This window comes from Homo sapiens, chromosome 22, assembly GCF_000001405.40.
Source record: "Homo sapiens chromosome 22, GRCh38.p14 Primary Assembly".
NCBI lineage: Eukaryota > Metazoa > Chordata > Mammalia > Primates > Hominidae > Homo > Homo sapiens.
Window position 1 is genome coordinate 32,506,202 of NC_000022.11, and position 21,272 is coordinate 32,527,473.

Sequence of the window (21,272 nt, forward strand, 5' to 3'; positions counted from 1 at the left end):
CTCGGCATAATTCTCATAAAAACACACGTGCTTTCCCTGCTGATCGTGTCCGATTAATCTCCCAAACCTCAATCCCTTACAAAATAACAACTCCTTTCCTTCCTAGGCATGGTTAGTGCGGTCAGAATTCTTACACAAGAGCCAGGACTGCGTCCTGCAGCCTTTCTGTCCAAACAACTTGACCTTACTGTTTTAGCCTAGCCCTCATGTCTGCGTGCAGCGGCTGCCGCTGCTTTAATACTTTTAGAGGCCCTAAAAATCACAAACTATGCTCAACTCACTCTCTACATTTCTCATAACTTCCAAAATCTATTTTCTTCCTCATACCTGACGCATATACTTTCTGCTCCCCGGCTCCTTCAGCTGTACTCACTCTTTGTTAAGTCCCACAATTACCATTGTTCCTGGCCGGGACTTCAATCTGGCCTCCCACATTATTCCTGATACCACACCTGACCCCCATGACTGTATCTCTCTGATCCACCTGATACTCACCCCATTTCCCCATATTTCCTTCTTTCCTGTTCCTCACCCTGATCACGCTTGATTTTTTGATGGCAGTTCCACCAGGCCTAATCGCCACACACCAGCAAAGCCAGGCTATGCTATAGTACAAGCCACTAGCCCACCTCTCAGAACCTCTCATTTCCTTTCCATCGTGGAAATCTATCCTCAAGGAAATAACTTCTCAGTGTTTCATCTGCTATTCTACTACTCCTCAGGGATTATTCAGGCCCCCTCCCTTCCCTACACATCAAGCTCCAGGATTTGCCCCCACCCAGGACTGGCAAATTAGCTTTACTCAACATGCCCGAGTCAGGAAACTAAAATACCTCTTAGTCTAAATAGACACTTTCACTGAATAAGTAAAGGCGTTTCCTACAGGGTCTGAGAAGGCCACCACAGTCATTTCTTCCCTTCTGTCAGACATAATTCCTCAGTTTAGCCTTCCCACCTCTATACAGTCTGATAGCAGACCAGCCTTTATTAGTCAAATCAGCCAATTAGTTTTTCAGGCTCTTAGTATTCAGTGAAACCTTTATATCCCTTACGGTCCTCTATCTTCAAGAAAAGTAGAACGGACTAAAGGTCTTTTAAAAACACACCTCACCAAGCTCAGCCACCAACTTAAAAAGGACTGGACAATACTTTTACCACTTTCGCTTCTCAGAATTCAGGCCTGTCCTCAGAATGCTACAAGGTACAGCCCATTTAAGCTCCTGTATAGATGCTCCTTTTTATTAGGCCCCAGTCTCATTCCAGACACCAGACCAACTTAGACTGTGCCCCCAAAAAAAACTTGTCATCCCTACTATCTTCTGTCTAGTCATACTCCTATTCTCCGTTCTCAACTACTCATACATGCCCTGCTCTTGTTTACACTGCCAGTTTACACTGTTTCTCCAAGCCATCACAGCTGATATCTCCTCGTGCTATCCCCAAACTGCCACTTTTAACTCTTGAAGTAAATAAATAATCTTTGCTGGCAGGACTATGCTGAATCTCCTTAGGCACTCTCTAATCAGATGTCCTAGGTCCTCCCAATTCTTAGACCTTTTATACCTGTTTTTCTCCTTCTTATTCCATTTAGTTTTTCAATTCATACAAAACCATATCCAGGCCGTCACCAATCATTCTACACAACAAATGTTTCTTCTAACATCCCCACAATATCACCCCTTACCACGAGACCTCCCTTCAGCTTAATCTCTCCCACTCTAGGTTCCCACGCCGCCCCTAATCCCACTCGAAGCAGCCCTGAGAAACATCGCCCATTCTCTCTCCATACCACCCCCCAAAAATTTTCGTCGCCCCAACACTTCAACACTATTTTGTTTTATTTTTCTTATTAATATAAGAAGGCAGGAATGTCAGGCCTCTGAGCCCAAGCCAAGCCATCGCATCCCCTGTGACTTGCGCGTATACGCCCAGATGGCCTGAAGTAACTGAAGAATCACAAAAGAAGTGAAAAGGCCCTGCCCCGCCTTAACTGATGACATTCCACCATTGTGATTTGTTCCTGCCCCACCTTAACTGAGTGATTAACCCTGTAAATTTCCTTCTTCTGGCTCAGAAGCTCCCGCACTGAGCACCTTGTGACCCCCGCCCCTGCCCACCAGAGAACAACCCCCTTTGCATGTAATTTTCCATTACCTTCCCAAATCCTATAAAACGGCCCCATCCCTACTCCCTTTGCTGACTCTCTTTTCGGACTCATCCGGCCTGCACCCAGGTGAAATAAACAGCCATGTTGCTCACACAAAGCCTGTTTAGTGGTCTCTTCACACAGACGCGCATGAAAGGGGCCCCAAGGAGAGGTCTCATGTTCTCATTCTGCCTCCTCCCATTCCTCTTCAGATTCAGTTTGGAAGAGGTCTTTTTGAGGTTGAAAACCTGCCATTGATCTTCTTCCGCTTCTTTTCTCTATCTCATTTTACTGGGTTTTGGTTTGTTTGATTCTGTTCCTGGGCAAGTGACTTCCATATATTGATACTCTTAGAAAAACATCTTTTTACTTCAATCTTAATACTTTTGTTTGGATTTTATTTCATAGTTTTCTAGGAGGGCTGAGCTAAAACATGTCCTGAACACCTGCTGGGTGCCAAGCAATGTGCTCTGAGCTTCACTCTCTTGACCCATGCACAAGATACCTGCACTAGCTTGCCAGATGAGAACTTCCAGAAGGCAGTTGATGTTCAGTTTTATGGGGTTTGCTGCTGTGTTTGTTACCATGTGAGTGAAGACCTATCATCCCCTTAAATTTTGGAAAGATAGAATTGAGTGTTAGTTCTATCTTGAATGTATCTGAATATTAGTTAATTCAGCAGGGACGGAATGTTAGGCTAGAGAATGTAGTAATGAAGAGAATCTAGGGAACTGATGGAAGAGAAAGGATATGCCACTGTTCCTGGAAAGCTGATTTTACATTTAACCAAAGTACGGTACCATTTTATCGCGCTGACGGGAGGAAGATCTGGAAGAACTTTTCTGTGGCTGGTAGAGCTGTCCGCTAAGGCTGCGTTTTTAAATCCCTGTTCATTGTGAACAAATCAAATAGGTCTTTGTTGTGTTTCAGCTTCCCCGAGTCAGCTTGGAGGGAAAATGCTAGCCTCTCTCTGGCTCAAAGTTGTGAAACAAAGCAAGAAAAACAACAAACATAACATTTTAGAGTCTATACAGCATGACTCCCCTCTCCCTCCTTTTTGCCCTTTCCCATTTCAAAATGTCACAATTATTAAAGGTTACATGTTTGGAAGGAACAGGTACTAGTCTATGTGACAGAACAGACTATTTTAGGGTCGCCATGAGACCTATGTGTCCTTGGTTCCTATGTTCATACACAGACCAATGGGGAAAGTATTATTATTATTATTATTATTATTTTGAGACAGAGTCTCACTCTGTTGCCCAGGCTGGAGTGCAGTGGTGCGATCTCGGCTCACTGCAAGCTCCGCCTCCCGGGTTCACGCCATTCTCCTGCCTCAGCCTCCCTAGTAGCTGGGACTACAGGCGCCCGCTACCACGCCCGGCTAATTTTTTATATTTTTAGTAGAGATGGGGTTTCACCGTGTTAGCCAGGATGGTCTCGATCTCCTGACCTAGTCATCCGCCCACCTCGGCCTCCCAAAGTGCTGGGATTACTGATGTGAGCCACTGCGCCTGGCCCCAGTGGGGAAATTATTTAAATGTGTTGGCTATAAACTAGTGTTATGTCATGGATCTGGATATATGAGTATGGTTATAAAAATCAGGATGCCTGGCCTGATTTGGAGCTTGGAAGGAGGTTCTGCGGCTGTTGTACACAGATACTGGAGTATCTGGGAGATATCCTTTGGATGCTGAGGTGTGTCTGAGGCCAAAGGACAGAATATAGGAATATGGGAGAATTTAGGCCATGTGGTCATTGTTCACGGGGCCACTAGTTTCACTCACTAAAGGAGTGGGTTCGTAGCTGCGTTGGAGACTGCAGCACACCCGTAGCAGTACTGTTTCTCATGCAGTGGCTTTCCCACAGAGCCCAGCTCAGGTTTGCTGGTCTCACATCAAAGTGCATTCAAAGTGGGGAGATTGACAAAGATGCAGGTTCTGGGTCCTGTGACCAGAAATTCGGACTCCTTTAGTCCGACATGAAGCTTCATCTGCCTTTGTAACTAGCTCTGCCCATGGCCGTGGCCCACAGGTTGAGAAACTTTGTCCAGCCTATTACCATTCAGTTGTATGTTTTGAGCTGTCTTTTATTACTAAGTGAAAACTGGGTGAGATTGTTGAAGAGGGACGATTGCCACAGGGGTTTCCTGTGTTCTTAATCTCCTGAAACTTGAGGACCTCATGGTTACACCCTGCCCTACAAGTTTTCTCTTACCCGTTTATTCAGGATGTCACACAGCATTATTTATTAATATTTGAAAGGTCTACCCCTGAGTAAGGAGGGTGGATATATATTTTTTTAAGTGGAAGAAACCAAACTTCAACTCCTATAGCTCTCTGTGCTTGAATCTTGTAACAGGCTGCTCTTATAAGCAGTGCCCCAGATCCTTCTAATGGGGGAACCTCACCTGCCCTTGTCAGGAAAGAAGGGGGAAGGGCCCAGGAACCTTCCAGTCTGAGAGGCTGGTATTCTGGTTCTTTCATCGTGTGACTTATACTAGTGATCCCTATCTTCTTGGGGGCAAGTGGGGAAGCCATTCTCCTCTTGAAGCCGGTTATCAGAGAACTATGAACTCATAGCGAGGTGACAGGATTTTAGGATGTGCATTTGTCAATTCCAAGTTATTGTCCAGGCGTGTGTGTGTGTGTGTGTGTGTGTGTGTGTGTAAGGGGACTCCTAGAATCACTGGCTAATCATCAAACCTTATGTTAATCAATATTTATACTCTCTTCTGTTAGATTTCTTTTAACAGAATAACTTTAAAAGGTACCCACATCTGATATTTTGAATTTCACCTCCCGTCTCTTTTCCCTATGCCCCACTTGGCTTTCTTCAGAAATTCCAAGGGAGTGGTGAAAGAATTAAGTGAGCAGCAGCAGGAGGATGAAGCAAAGTTCTACCGGATTATAAATGGTCTGATCTATTCCTTGCCATCACCTGACCTCCCCCAAGCATGACTGTGGGATATTGACCCCAGGACCCCCACCTCCACCCACCTTGGGGGTCTAGAAGAATGTGTCGACAATGATGCCTGCAAAGCAGCAGCTTCATGTGTCTGACTGCCCACTGCATCATCTCAGCTGCCTCTGGATAGGATTCTGCCAGCTCCTGGCCAGACTAGTTCTGTTGCATTGCACAGGCTGAGCAAAAAGAAGGGAGATGTGTTACTGGGCAGAGTGAGCTCCAGACATGCCAGACATGCAGGGACTGTCCTATAACATGGAACTCAGCCGAGCATGGAGACAGAGTAAGGGTGGTGGGCTTTTTGGGCGCTAGAAAGAGTACCAGGCCTTCACCTCTTCACCTCTCACCTCACACAATGGCTATTTTATTTGCTGCTGATCCTAGCCAGTGTTAATCAGGCCTGAGCCTACCAGTCTCCAGCTGCCAAATTATGGCTCCCAATAGTCACTGGCAATTGGACCTATCTGATCTTTCTTATGTCAGGTCTGCTACTTATTATTGAATCCCAGACCAAGAGTCTTGAACAGGAGGAGAGAGAGGACTTCTGAATTATCCTGGGGTCTCTTGCTCTTAAATCCAGACCTGATCATGAGTGAGGGAAGAGGGCAATGTGAAGAGGACTGTCCTAAAGGCCAAGTGGCTTTCTGGCAGCCAGGTGCACAGCTAGCACTTTCAATACTGACCCAGTCTCCAGCCAATAGCCCGTCAAAAGCCAGCTTGAAGGCAGGCTTTTCTGAGGTTGAGAGTTCTAAGTGATCCAATGCCCACAGAAGGAGAGGGTCTCTGGCCCTGACGTCACCACTCCAGTTTGGTTTTGAAGGACCAAAAAGGAGATGATTGCTTTTATGCTCCTGGGAACCTGGATGGATCTTGGCTGATTACCAAACAATCTACATTGCTTGGGCATAACTAGAAGCTGCTCCAGGCCAAAGCCACTTCCATTTTTACCTCCCTCTCTCCCTTCCCTGTGGACAGCAAAAGGAAGACATGTCTCATGTTGCGAAGTGGGAGGCAAGGGGCTAACATGGCTATGTTCTAATATCTTGGGCTCTCTTTGGGACCAGGAGGCTGCTTCTGGCACCTACAATGTTTCCAGCACCAGGTGCTTGGTGATTTGGATCACCGCTGAACGCTGTCTAAGCATGAGAGGCAGACTGGTATAGGGGAAAGAGCACTGGGAAGGGAGTTAGACTACTTTTTCCAGCTCTGCAACTAACTTATTGAGTCAAATCATCAGTTTGGATTTAACAAAGCTGATTTCTTTCCTGCAGGAATTCCGAAAGCCTTTGACATATATTATATACAATGCGTCTCCAAAAAAAGAAATACAAACAGCGGTTCCTAAACATATTTGGCCATGGGGCCCTTTTGAAATTGAGTAACCTACCAATACCTTGCTGTACAGAGTTTGTGAAATGCCAAACTAGAAGTGACTATCATTGCACTTCGGATCCTATGTCATTGATCTGTTGATTCTCTCTGGTTCCCAACAGATCCATAAAAAGGAAACGGCATTCCTGGTGGGAGGCCAGAGAGATCAAACAGTGGTGGAACAGAATGGGTACAGGAGCCCTAACCTGACCCTTTCCTTGGGAAGTCCAGGGCCTCTTTCTCCTTTGTAAACTAGTCTTTATTCCTACAATAACCTGTGATCTGCCCTTGGCTGTCCAAATAAGAATAATGCTCTGAGTATGAGTGGCATTACAAGGGCCCCCCTGTTTCTGTCGTGTTCTGAAAGACCCCACTTGTCATACAGGGTCTGGTTTCTTTCTTGGCCTCAGGACCCCACTAGTGGCCGAGTGTGATGGGGGCCTTTGCCTGCCTGGTCTAAGGGCGGGTCTTGAGCGTGGATGGAACTAGCGTGGGCAGGTGGCGAGTTCCCCTGGCTGGGATTTTTCTCTTTTTGTTTGTTTGCAAAACACTGTTAAAAGATTATTGCCTCCTATATTGCTGAGGTCTGACTACAGTGTCTGCGTTTGATGGAGGTGGGGCAAGGCCTAGAGGGGGCCTTTGCCCAAAGGTGAGCCAAACACTAGTAAGAATGTGAAAACTAGCCACTCGCAGACATCTCACTTGGTTATCTGGCAGGTAAGCAGGCACGTGGGTAGGCAGAGGGTGTGATGCCCATCGCTCAGGCCTGTTTTGAGGAACCTGGAGGCTCTCAAAGGCCCACCTCACAGTCAGACAATGCTGGAATGTCACGGTGAAGGAAAATGGGAACAAATATAGATAATCGGTTCCTGGGTCAAAGGCATTTAGAAAGTATGTTCTCAGGCCCTCCATTCTGTTCCCATCAGGAACCAAGGCTGAGAAGGAAGATGAGGCAGGAGGGGGACGAGTGTAGCAGAGCACTCTTCCCCTCCCAGCCTGGATGGCGTTAGTCAGAGAACAGGCTGGCAAAAGACTTCCTCAGGTTGCGGATGGTTTCAGCCTTGGCCTCGTCTTCACTTGGGGTCCCACGCTGGGAGGTGTCGGATGTGCTGAGGCTGTTAGTCAGGGACTGAGATTTGCTGAAACAGAAAGGCAAGGGGGTTGAGGAAGACAAGGCGAAGACTATCAAAGAAATGGGTCTTGGGGGCTTGCCTGTAAGCCAGATGGGCTACCCCAATCATCATAAGGTTATGAAGACCAGAAACCAGGCATTCCAATGCTTACATGATGTCAGGTACATTACACACATAATTTGCAAGGTGGTTATTTTCCCCATTTCTTAGGTTCAGAAATAGGGGTTCACAGAGTCAAGTAACTTGCTCCGGTCCTCACAGCAAGTAATGGGGGAGCACCCAGAGGCCACATTCTTTCCATTATACCAGACTGTTGAGGCAGCAGGCATTGCTGGAGAGTAGCTTGGCTGCTCTCCTGCCTATGGGTACAAACCCACTTTGTAAACTGCAATGTGCTGTATCAACATCAGGTTATAGTTATTTCCAGCACTCGTTTAGGTATCAGGAGGCCTGTATTCTAGAACCTTCTCTGCTCTTTGATGTGTGTAGCCTTGGGCAAGGAACTTACCTTCTCAGGGCTTCCTTTGCCTCATCTGTAGAGCGAAGGGTTTGTCCTGCTGACCCTCAGGCCTCTTCCAGCTCTGACATTCTGGACTTCAATTCCCATCTCTTCTCCAATGTCTTTATGGCTAATTCTGTCCCCCACCCGCTTTTGGAATTCTTTTAGTGCCATCTTTTTGAATGGCAGATGCCATTCTGAGTGCTTCCTAAATGCCAGCCTGTAGCAACTGCTTGCTGAGCACTTCCCCTGTGCTAGGGGACAGGGGTGTAAGACGAATATGATTCAGGCCCTGCCTCAGGAGGCTCAGTCATAGGAGGGGAGGCAACAGACCTAGGAAGAGATTATGTAAATGTGTCAAAAGTTGAAGAGCTCTGCATGTGATGCTGTCATCACATTAAAAACTGCACCACACTGTGCTGGGCGCAGTGGCTCACGCCTGTAATCCCAGCACTTTGGGAGGCCGAGGCAGGCGGACCACAAGGTCAGGAGATCGAGACCATCCTGGCTAACACGGTGAAACCCCGTCTCTACTAAAAATACAAAAAATTAGCCGGGTGAGGTGGCGTGCGCCTGTAGTCCCAGCTACGCGGGAGGCTGAGGCAGGAGAATGGCATGAATCCTTGAGGCGGAGCTTGCAGTGAGCCGAGATGGCGCCACTGCACTCTAGCCTGGGCGACAGTGAGACTCCATCTCAAAAAAAAAAACAAAACAAAAACTGGGGACTTCAACGCAGGGACTGTCTTTTACTCCTTGCTTATTACCCCTCAGAGAGTCTTATCTAGAACAAGGCACAGAGTAGGTAAATTCAGTAAATACCTGCTGACTTGAATTGAACCAAGTTCTTTAAAGCAGTAAGTCAGGAAATTTATGTGTTTTTAGCTAGAACACTGTAAGGTCAGTGACCAAACCTGGTTTAAGGCCCAGAGCCCCTGTCTGTCCTGTGATTAGTTGGCTGATCTCCTTATGTGGTGACAGGCTGTATGCAGATAAGCCTCTGTAGTGGCAGCAGCATTCTAAGCACCAACTGTGCATAAACTCATTGCAATCCTTATAATAACCCTGTGCGGTTATTGTCCCCATTCCACATGTGAGGAAATTGAAGCACAGCGAGGTTAGGCAACTTATCTGAGGTTGTGTAGTTTTTAAGTGGTGGAGCTAGGATTTGAACCCAGGCAGTCTGACTCTAGAGTCTGTGCTGTCAACTGCTATTCCATATTGCCAGGAGGGCCATTTGCTAGTGTCTGTCAAACTAAAAATACATTTATCCTTTGATCTAACAATATCATGTCAGGTTATTTTCTCTAGAGTGAGTCTTGCAACTATGAAAGTATATGTTCAGATTTATTAATTGCAGCATTATTTGTAAGATCAAACCAAGTTTCTATTTGTGATGGATTAGTTAGATAAATTATAGTACAATGGTACAGCGGAATACTATACAGCCATAAAAAATAAAATTCGAAGAAACTCGGTGCTCCAGGATTTTTTTTTTTTTCGAGATGGAGTCTTGCTCTGTCACCCAGGCTGGAGTGCAGTGGCACGATCTCAGCTCACTGCAAGCTCCGCCTCCTGGGTTCACGCCATTCTCCTGCCTCAGCCTCCCTAGCAGCTGGGACTACAGGCGCACGCTGCCGCGCCTGGCTAATTTTTTGTATTTTTAGGAGAGATGGGGTTTCACTGTGTTAGCCAGGATGGTCTCGATCTCCTGACCTTGTGATCCGCCCCCCTCCACCTCCCAAAGTGTTGGGATTACAGGCATGAGCCATCGCATCCAGCCCAGGATTTATTATTAAACATGAAAAGCAGTGAGCAGAATGGTGTTGATAGTGAATACTCCTGTGTGTGTGAGAAAATGAGGGCGAGGATCTGAACAATTTTATTATTTATTTATGCAAATATTTTTTATTTGCATAAGGAAGCACTGAAAGGACACATAGGAACTAACAAAAGTCATTTCTGGGGATGGGGGTAGCAAAGCGTTGGATGAGAATGGGGCGGGAACGAGGCTTTTCAACATACATCTTTGATTTATTTATTTATTTATTTATTTATTTATTTATTGAGATGGAGTCTCACTTTGTTGCCCAGGCTGGAGTGCAATGGCGCCATCTCAGCTCACTGCAACCTCAGCCTCTCAGGTTCAAGCGATTCTCCTGCCTCAGCCTCCTGAGTAGCTGGGACTACAGGCGTGCACCAGCACGCCCAGCTAATTTTTGTATTTTTAGTAGAGATGGGGTTTCACCATGTTGGCCAGGCTGGTCTCAAACCCCTGACCTCAGGTGGGATCCACCCACCTTGGCCTCCCAAAGTGTTGGGATTACAGGCATGAGCCACCACACCTGGCCTGATACCTTTTAGATCTTTGAACTATGTGAATATATTACCTATTCAAAAAAATAGTTGTTAGCATGATCCCTGGACTGGATGTCGTGGGTCTAATCCCAGCTCTTCTAGTTATTAACTGGAAACTTTGGCAAGTTATTTAATCTTTTCTTTGCTTACTCGTCTGTACAATGGGGATAAGAAATAGTTATTAACTCCTAAGCTTGTGAGAACTTAAAAAAAACCCAAGTAAGTAAAGTGCTTGGCACATAGTAAGTGGACAATAGCTGTTAGCTGTGAACTGTGATGATCAACATTTGGCCTTGAAAGAAGGTAGAGCTTTCCAAAGATCAGTTACTTGGGACCTCTCTTTAGGACAAACCAAGAGATGGGCCTGAGAGGAAACAGGATGTATATGTGTATTGTGATGGATGGCTTACAAAAATGACTGCAATGATTCCTCTTGTCCCTGTAGCCTGCCCTTTTGAGATGTGACTTCATGGCTCCTCCTACCAAAAATTTATTTCCTACCTCTTGAATGTGGGTTTGGCCCTGTGACTTGCTTTGACTAAAAGCGTGTGATAAAATAACATTTCATAACTCCCAAGGCTGGGCCTCAAGAGGCCTTGCAGCTTGTACTTTCTCCCTTTTTAAAAGCAGTTCTACCATGTAAGAAAGCTCGGCTTAGCCTTGGGGAGGATGAGACCCCATGGAGAGAAAGAGGCCCAGCTGACAGCTAGCACCAACAACCAGATGTGTGTGTGAGGCCTTCTTGGACCATCCAGCCTCAGTGAAGCTGCCAGATGACTGCAGTCGTATGAGTGATCCCAGGAAAGTAGAGTTGCCAGATTTAGCGAATAAAAATGTGTAGATAAATGTGCATTTCAGATAAAAAGCTAAGACTTTTTTTTTAGTGTAAGTATATTCCATGCAATGTTTGGGGCATAATTATACTCACAATTATCTGTTTTTTATCTGAAATGTGAATCTAACTGGGTATCCTATGTTTTATTCTGTAACTCTATAGGAGACACCAGCAGAAGAACCTCCCAGCTGAGCTAAACTCAGAACAAACAGCTGAACCAAAAAATTATGAACAAAGAGAATGATTGTTTTCTTCAGCCACTAAGTTTTGGGGTTGTTTGTTATGCAGCAAACAATAGCTGGTAAATGGCTGGTATGTGTATACACGGAGGGTCACGGTGGTGTCTAATCTATACTCTCACCTTGTTGGGCCTCCCCAGCAAATTCTGTCCTCTAGTCCTGTTTTTACCTATTTGAAGTCTAGGCAAGGCCTCGTTGGGTCTTCCTTTGTCTCCAAGTCCCTAACCCTGAATCAGCCAAGCTCTGCCTACACCCCAGCTCTATCCTATACCTTTTCCAATTCCCAAAGCACTTACTTGAGATGCGGATGGGGTGGTGCTGGCTTCTTGGACTCTTCACCCTGCTGGGAGGTACTACGGCCCTGCACAGGGGGCCGGGGCTGTGAGGCGAGGGTGGCACCTGGCTTGGAGGCCTGGTTTGGGGAGCTGCCACTGGATGCCCGGGATAGCTGCGGAGAGCCTGGTGACCTTTGCTGCTGTGGAGATCCGGACTGGGGGCTCAGGGGCTGCTGGCCTTGTGGGGAGAGCCTCTGTTGGGAGGGGCTTCCAGATCTCTGGGGCTGAGGAGACTGAGCTTGGCGAGGGCCTCCTAAGGGGCCAGAAAAAAAAAGGTTCAGTTCAATTTTTTTTCTTAGGATAGATATGGCTGTACACAAATAATGTTGCTTCAAGGATGTTCATTACAGTGTTTCTTATAATGGTGAAAAACTGAAAACCGTATAAATACCTAACCATAAGGAAGTAATTAGGAACATTAAGATACATCTGTATAATGGAATATGCTGTGGTCATCACATAGGATGTGGCTGAGTAATACTAAATGACACAGGATACTGTTGATAACATATGCTAAATATTATACTGCTGAACAAAATAGCTTAGAATACAGTACTTATGGTTTTATTTTGGCACATATGTAAAAACATATATAAAAAAGCAAGACTGGAAGACTGTACACTAAAACCAGTGTGCCTCAGACTTTAATGTGCATATGAATCACTGGGGATCTGGTCAAAATAAAGATTCTGATAGAGTGAGTCTCGGGCTGCGTTACGGACTGAATTGTGTTCACCCTGTCCCAATTCATATGTTGAAACCTTAACCCTAACCCTCAATGCAATTCTATTTGGAGATAGGATCTTTAAAGAGGTAATTAAAGTTAAATGAGGTGATACGGTGGGGCCCTAATCTGATAGGCCTGGTGTCCTTATAAGAGGAGAAAGAAATATCAGGAGTGTCATGTACCCAGGTACAGAAGAAAGGACACACGAGGATACACAAAGAAGGCTGCCATCTGCAGGCCAAGGAGAGAAGCTGTACCAGAAACCAACCCTGCTAGCACCTTGATCTTGTACCTGCAGCCTCCAGAACTGTGAAAAAAACATCTGTTGTTTAAGGCCCCCCCAGTCTATGGCATTTTGTTATCAAGGCAGCCTGAGAAAACTAATATAGGCAGGATCTGCGATTCTGCATTTCTAACGGGTTCCCAGCTTATCCTACGTTGAGTAATGAGACACTAAATAATCATTACAAAAGTGGTGAGATTAAGAAGGATTTTAATTCTCTTTTTTTTTTTCTCACGGGTATTTTCCACACTGAAGATGTATTTCTTTGGAAACAACGACAAGAATTAACTCTTACTTTTTGAGTTGCTCTCTAAACTTTTCCAAGAACTTTCAAAAGCAACATATCACTTGACCTAGAGAGGTCAGTAGGGAAGATACCATTCTTCTCACCACATAGAGGTGGAGACTGAGTCTTATTAAGGTTTCCCAGTTGGAAGAGGAGCCACAGAAAGCTCAAAGAGAATCTTGGTTTCTCCCTCTCACCGTACAGGGCACACAGGCTTCCACAAGCAAGCCAAGAGGCATCTAAGCTTGGGGATGTTGTAGCCACCCAGAAATGACTTTGAGTAGAATTCCAAGGCCCCCAACAATCAAGGTGCACTCTCCTAACCCTCAAATTCTGGGTGTCAGGGCTGTTGATGGTGAATTGCATTTTGCCAAAGCCGACTGGCTGCCCGTAGGTCTCTTCTCCCTACGACATGCTGCTGCTGGGAGAGTGGGGTTATTCTTGCCACGTTTTTTTGAGAGCACCGTAGGCACGTTAGGAGACTGAAAACTAAAAGGTGCTGGAACCCATCTCTGTGACTCTGTAACAATGGGGCTTCTACTGAGCACCTATTATGTCACCAGCTTTGGACTGGGCACAACAGCTCTGTGGGTTAGGCATTATTTTCATCCCCTACCCCCAGCCATGGGAGTGCTGTCCCTGGAACTCTAGAGAGAGCCACATGTATAATTACACATTTTCTAGTAGGCACATTTTAAAAAGTAAAAAGAAATAGGTGAACATAATTTTAATAGTGTGTGTGTGCGTGTATATAGGTATGTATGTATATATATAATTTTTAATTAAAGAGATGGGGTCTCTGTCACCCAGGGTAGAGTGCAGTGGCATGGTCACACCGCAGCAGTGAACCCCTGGGCTGAAGCCACCCTCCTGCCTCAGTCTCTAGAGTAGCTGGGACTACAGGCCCAACACCACTTTTTCTTTCTGCCTTTTTTTTTTTGTAGAGATGGGGTGTCGCTGTGTTGCCCAGGCTGGTCTTGAACTCCTGGCCTCAAGCAATTCTCCCACCTTAGCCTCCCAAAGTGCTGGGATTACAGGTGTGAGCCACTGTGCTTGGCCCCATTTTTACAGAGAAACTGAGACCCAGATATATTGTGACTTGCTTAAGATGTCACTACGAATAAGGGGACACGCCGAGATTCAAACCTAGATCTCTTTGACTCAAAAACCCTGTTTTATTACTTTTTCCTTTATGAAAACTACACCACGCAGGCTCGCCTGAGTCCTCATAACATCTTTATTGCTAATTAAGAAAAGGCGGCTTCCTTCAGCTGAAGCAGCTCTGAGCCAGATGCCAAAGGGGCAAGGACTAGATTTCAGCCAGCCTCCCTTACCAGATGTCACGTCAGCTGAGCACATTTTCAGAGGACATGCCACCTGTATAACCTCCATGACCTGTGGAGTCTGGTGGCCCTGACTCCACACTGGCACCAGGAGCCTCAGGTCCTGACTCAAGCCTTGCCATTAACTCGCTGTGTGACCGTGGGTAAGTCACTCCCCTTCTCTGGGCTTCTGGGCCCTCATTTGTAAAATAAGGTCATTGGACTGAACATCAAACATCCCTCCCGATCTGAACATTTTTGTGAGCTTGTGGAACACTAAATTGGATTAAATTGCAGCATCAGTTTAGCATCTGATTATATTACATGGCTTTGATTCATTACCTCTTTCATGATTGTATAGGCGAGTAGATGGGAGGTCACATTTATCTCAAACACCTCTAGGGCCAACCAGGTATGTAAATAAATAAAGCAGGCAAATATAAGAAAAGTAATGAGGCTTTCAAAAATTTGCCCACTTGAGATAAAAACAGTCCAGAGAACTATTTCTCTGAAGAGGTGCAAGCATAAAGAACATAGCAATTGCCCCTCTCTGTCACTATGGAAGTGAGGAGTAGGGCTGGAGGCAAACGCAGGAGCCCCTAGGAGCCCTTGCTCTGATCAAGGAAGCCGCTGTTAGTAACGCCAGGGACAGTTGCTGTATAGAAACACAGGCCCATTGTTTCTAGAGCTTCTGTGCTATCAAGAGATGCTGGAAATCTAGATGTTTAAGCAACACCTCTTGATTTTTTTTTTTTTTTTTTTTGAGACGGAGTCTTGCACTATTATCCGGGCTAGAGTGCAGTGGCGCGATCTCGGCTCACTGCAACCTCCTCTGTCTCCTGGGTTAAGAGATTCTCCTGCCTCAGCCTCTCAAATAGCTGGGATTACAGGCGTCCGCCACCACGCCCAGCTAATTTTTTGTATTTTTAGTAGAGACAGGGTTTCCCCATATTGGCCAGGCTGGTCTCGAACTCCTGACCTTGTGATTCGCCCACCTCAGCCTCCCAAAGTGCTGGGATTACAGGTGTGAGTCACCGCGCCCAGCTCACCTCCTGATTTTTAAATGTTGGTTACTTTTGGGTTTTCTAAACCCACCGCAGTTCAAATAAAACATTTGTTTTCTACTTTTATCTTCAGTTTCCCCTGATTCGCCTCCCTTCCCAGGTTGATATCTTAGAAAATGTGAATACCCATTCATTAATTCAGTAACTCTTTGTTGAGTCCCTATCATATACCTGGGATTTATCAAGAGAGACACCCTAGTTACTGGATTCAGAGACCAGAGTGCTAACCATTACCACTGCCCTAGTTATTTCTTTCGGCTTCTTGGCAAAGCAAACAATTTAGTATTTTTCATATGAGCACATACACAAAATATTAACATATATAGAAAGTATTTGCCTAAGCACAGACATGAAGCTTATTAAAAGAAAATTTCACTTTTACTGAGTTGAAATGAACAGCAAGTTCAAAATAATAATGTGATTTGTTAATTGGGGAACTCAATGAAAGCGTTGTTTTTCATTAGCCTTGTTATTTTTAATCTGAGCGTTAATTCACTGGGCATTTTCTTTAATTACCTTAATTGGTTTTAAATTGATTGTTTTTCAACTCACTAAAAGTGTGTTTAGCCTCATTTCCCTTAAAATAATATCTCTTTATCAAGCATGTTTTACTCTGGGCCAGAGAGGAAATCAGAATACAGTAGCTCTCTGTTTTAAAACGGCTCTGTTCAAATGTGCTTTTAAAAAGCAGGTCCCAGGGCAGAGGGGAAAGGAGGGTGTGGGGCAGAGGCACAGCCAGGAGCCTGGTAGAGTGAGGAATATGTAGTTTCGGAACACTTATTACTATAGAATTCTTGCTGGGTAACGGGGCACTGCATTAGTTACAAGGATTGTTAATAATAAACATGAAAAGCAATATGTATAAGACACACGTTATTAATAGTAAGCATTATGTCATAGTTATTCGTAGTAAATTATTAGTAGTAAGAACTGACACCTTCTACGCACTATCTCTGTGTCTGATGCCTTGCTAATTGCTTCACCTGCATTTATCTCATGGACAAGCACCCCATCCTTAAACATGGAAGCTGTTATTTCCTCCTTTACACTGAGGAAACTGAGGCCCCGAGAAGTAATATGACTTGCCTAACACTGCAAAGGCAGTGAGATACGGAACTGGATTCAAACACACTAGATCTGCCTGAAGGAGAATACTAATGTGTATTTTATACAGGCATACCTTGTTTTATTGTGGTCCATTTTATTTCAGTTTGCAGATACTGTGTTTTTTCTAAATTGGAGGGTTGTGACGACCTTGCATTGAGCAAGTCTGTCAATGCTGTCCTTCCAACAGCATGTACTCATGTGGTGTCTGTGCCTCACATTTGACAATTGTCACAAATTTCAAACTTTTAAATTATTATTATATCTGTTATGGTGATCCGTAATCAGTGATCTTTGATACTACTATTGTATTAATAATTGTTTTTGGGTGCCATGAACCACACCCATATAAGACAGTGAACTGGCCGGGCGTGGTGGCTCATGCCTGTAATCCCAGCACTTTGGGAGGCCAAGGCAGGCGGATCACAAGGTCAGCAGATCGAGACCATCATGGCCAACATGGTGACGTCCCTTCTCTACTGAAAATACAAAAAAATTAGCTGGGTGTGGTGGCATGCACCTGCAGTCCCAGCTACCCGGGAGGCTGAGGCAGGAGAATCGCTTGAGCCCAGGAGGCAGAGGTTGCAGTGAGCTGAGATTGTGCAACTGTACTCCAGCCTGGGCAAAAGAGCTAGACTCCATCTCAAAAAACAAACAAACAAACAAACAAAAAAAGACAGTGAACTTACTTGATAAATGTGTGTGTTCTGGCTGCCCCATTTACCAGCCATTTCCCTATCTCTCTTCCTGTCCTTGGGCCTCCCTTTCCCCTAGACACAACAATATTGAAATTGGACCAGTTAAGAACCCAATAATGGCCTCTAAATATTCAAGTGAAAGGGAAAGTCACACATCTCTTACTTTTAAATAAAAAAACTAGAAATGATTAAGCTTAGTGAGGAGGGCATGTTGAAAGCCAAGACAAGCTGAAAATTAGGCCTCTTGCACCAGAAAGTTAGCTAAGTTGTGAATGTGAAGGAAAAGTTCTTGAAAGAAATTAAATGTGCCACTCCAGTGAACACACAAATGATAAGAAATCAAAACAGCCTCATTGCTGATACGGAAAAATTTGAGTGGTCTGGAAAGAAGATCAAACCAGACGCAACATTGCCTTAAGCCAAAGCCTAATCCAGAGCAAGGCCCTAACTACTTTCAATCCTATGAAGGCTGAGAGAGGTGAGAAAGCTAAAGAAGAAAAGTTGGAAGCTAGCAGAGGTTGGTGGGTGAAGTCTCAGGAAAGAAGCCATCTCCATAACAAAAACTGCAAGGTGAAGCTGCAAGTGCTGACGAAGAAGCTGCAGCAAGTTATCCAGAAGAACTAGCTTAGATTATTGATGAAAGTGGCTGTGCTAAACAACAGATTTTCAGTGTAGATGGAACAGCCTTCTATTGGAAGAAGATACTATCTAGGGCTTTCATAGCTAAAGAGGAGAAGTCAATGCCTGGCTTCAAAGCTTCAAAGGATAGGCTGACTCTCTTGTTGGGGCTAGTGCAGCCGGTGACTTAGAGTTGAAGCCAGTGCTCATTAACCATTCTGGAAATCCTAGGGCCCTTAAGAATGATGCTAAATCTACTCTGCCTGTGCTGTGTAAATGGAAAAACAAAGCCTGGATAACAGCATAGTATTTCCAATATGGTTCATTGAATATTTTAAGCCTACTGTTGAGACCTAGTGTTCAGAAAAAAGATTCTTTTCAAAATATTACTGCTCATTGACAATGCATCTATCCACACAATAGTTCTGATGGAGATGTACAAGATAATTTTGTTTTCATGCCTTTTAATACATATCACGTCTTTTAGTTCATGGATCAAGGAGTAATTTAAAATCTGAGGTCATATTATTTTAAAAATACATTTTGGCCAGGTGCAGTGGCTCATGCCTGTAATCCCAGCACTTTGGGAGGCCGAGGCGGGTGGCTCACAAGGTAAGGAGTTCAAGACCAGCCTGGACAACATGGTGAAACTCCATCTCTACTAAAAATACAAAAATTAGCTGGGCATGGTGGCGCGTGCCTGTAATCCCAGCTACTTGAGAGGCTGAGGCAGGAGAACTGCTTGAACCAGGACCCGCGAGGTGGAGCTTGCGGTCAGCCGAGATTGCACCACTGAACTCCAGCTTGGGCTATAGAGCGAGACTCTGTCTCAAAAAAAAAATTTTTTTCATAAAGCTATAGTTGCCATAGACAGTGATTCCTCTGATGGATCTTGGCAAAGGAAATTGAAAACCTTCTGGAAATGATTTACCTTTCTAGATGCCATTAATAATATTTGGGATTCATAGGAGGAGATCAAAATAGCAACATTAACAGGAGTTTGGAAGTTGATTCCCATCCTTATGGATGACTGTGAGGGGTTCAAAACTTCAGTGGAGGAAGTAAGTGAAGATGTCGTGGAAATAGCAAGAGAACTAAAATAAGAAGTGAAGCCTGAAGATGTGATGGAATTACTGCAGCCTCGTGATAAAACTTGAATTGATGAGGAGCTGCTTCTTATGGATAAGCTAATAAAGTGACTTCTTGAGATGTAATCTACTCCTGATAAAGATGCTATGAAGGGGCCGGGCGCAGTGGCTCATGCCTGTAATCCCAGCACTTTGGGAGGCTGAGGCGGGCGGATCACGAGGTCGGGAGATCGAGACCAGCCTGGCAAACACGGTGAAACCCCGTCTCTACTAAAAAATATACAAAAAATTAGCCGGGAGTGTTGGTGGGCACCTGTAGTCCCAGCTACTCGGGAGGCTGAGGCAGGAGAATGGCATGAACCCGGGAAAGCGGAGTTTGCAGTGAGCGGAGATCACGCCATAGCACTCCAGCCTGGGCGACAAGGAGACTCCGTCTCAAAAAAAAAAAAAAAAATGCTATGAAGATTGATGAAAAGACAACAAAAGGATTTAGAATATTACGTAAACTTAGTTGATAAAGCAGCAGCAGGTTTTGCGAGGACTGACTTCAAGTTTGAAAGAAGTTCTACTATGGGTAAAATGCTATCACACAGCATCACGTACTGCAGAGAAATCTTGTGTGAAAGGGTGAGTCAATGCATGCAGCTAACTTCACTGTTGCCTTATTTTTATAAATTGCCTCAGTCACCCCTTGCTTCAACAACCAGTACCCTGATCAGTAAGCAGCCATCAGTATTGAGGCAAGACCCTCCATCAGCAGAAAGGTTACTATTCACCTAGGGCTCAGACGATTGTTAGTAATAAAGTATTTTATCATTAAGGTATGTACTTTGTTTTTTTCAGACATAATGCTATTGTACTTAAGAGACTACAGTGTAGTGTAAACATAGCTTTTATATGCACCAAAAAATTTGTGTGACTCCCTTTATTCTGATATTTACTATATACTGGGGTGGTCTTGAACCGAACCAGCAATATCTCTGAGGTATGTCTGTACACAGTTGTGTACAATTATACAATTTCCCTTTTCTTAAAAATATCTCCTGCTTTTCCAGAAGGAGAAACACAAACAAGAAAAATGAATGGGACATTTTATCTAAGACCTGTGGAAGAGGAAGCCATTTGGTGGCCAAGGTTGACTTTTTTTCACAAAGTAATGAATCTGTTGCTTTTAATAATAGTGACTGGGAAGGCCACAACATGATAGTAATGCCTTCTTTCTGATATATATATATAATTTATTTATTTTATTTTGTTTTTTTGAGATGGAATCTCCCTCTATCGCCCAGGGTGGAGTGCAGTGGCGCAATCTCGGCTCACTGCAACCTCCGCCTCCTGGGTTCAAGCGATTCTCCTGCCTCAGCCTCCCGAGTAGCTGGGATTACAGGTGCACACCACCACCACATCTGGCTAGTTTTTTTGTATTTTTAGTACTGATGGGGTTTCACCATATTGGCTAGGCTGGTCTCGAACTCCTGACCTCGTGATCCGCCCGCCTCGGCCTCCCAAAGTGCTGGGATTACAGGCCTGAGCTACCGCGCCCGGCCTCTGATAGGTTTTTAAGAAGATCCTTAAAAGATTGCAGCGAGACTGCCTGCTTTGGTTTCTTGGTGCACAGGTGCTCTGAAGCTCCATGCTGGTGCCAGAGCGAGTGTGCCCAGGAGGTTTTGATTGCAAGAGAGGATACGGGGCGGATTTCTCTCAAGACTGCATGCAAGAATATCAGAGCAGCTGATATTCTTTGAGAAAGTTAGTTAGCCATTGCCCTGATTGCTTTTCATCTTTTTACAATAGTTTGTCCATTCTCTAATAAGTGGTGGAATGTAGTAATGCTGGAATATATTTGAGGAGGAATTTCAATGGCCAAGGTTTTATAGATGATCTTCCCTTTTTCTATCTTTCTTACTCTAGCTGGTCGACTCACAAATCTATCATCAGGCACCACTCATTGAAATGAATAAACACTTCCTAGGTTTGAAAGGTCTGAAAGGCCAGACTTGTAAATCTACCATTTTCTGCCTCCTTGGGCAAAGCCTCAACTTTTACCTCGCAGTAGAAAGGCTCACGCCTGTAATCCCAGCACTTTGGGAGGCTGAGGTGGGCGGATCACCTGAGGTCAGGAATTTGAGACCAGCCTGGCCAACATGGTGAAACCCCATCTCTACTAATACTACAAAAATTAGCTGGGCGTGGCGGTGTGCA

At 44.8% G+C, this 21,272-nt stretch overlaps 1 protein-coding gene across 18 annotated transcripts in view; it reads right to left on the reverse strand.

Moving 5' to 3' along the window:
• SYN3 (synapsin III) overlaps positions 1,619 to 21,272 on the reverse strand; it is a 550,562-nt gene continuing 530,908 nt past the window's right edge. For 14 of the 18 annotated variants that reach the window (NM_001369909.1, NM_001369907.1, NM_001135774.2 and 11 more), the window contains 2 exons: positions 11,842 to 12,133; positions 1,619 to 7,623 (listed from right to left, as the gene is read on the reverse strand). In NM_001369909.1, the coding sequence (NP_001356838.1) occupies positions 7,491 to 7,623; positions 11,842 to 12,133 (425 nt within the window). In that variant the 3' untranslated portion in view covers positions 1,619 to 7,490. Of the gene's footprint in view, positions 7,624 to 11,841; positions 12,134 to 21,272 lie in introns of those variants that run through there. The other 4 variants (XM_047441529.1, XM_047441528.1, NM_133633.3 and 1 more) reach the window with 3 other exon arrangements.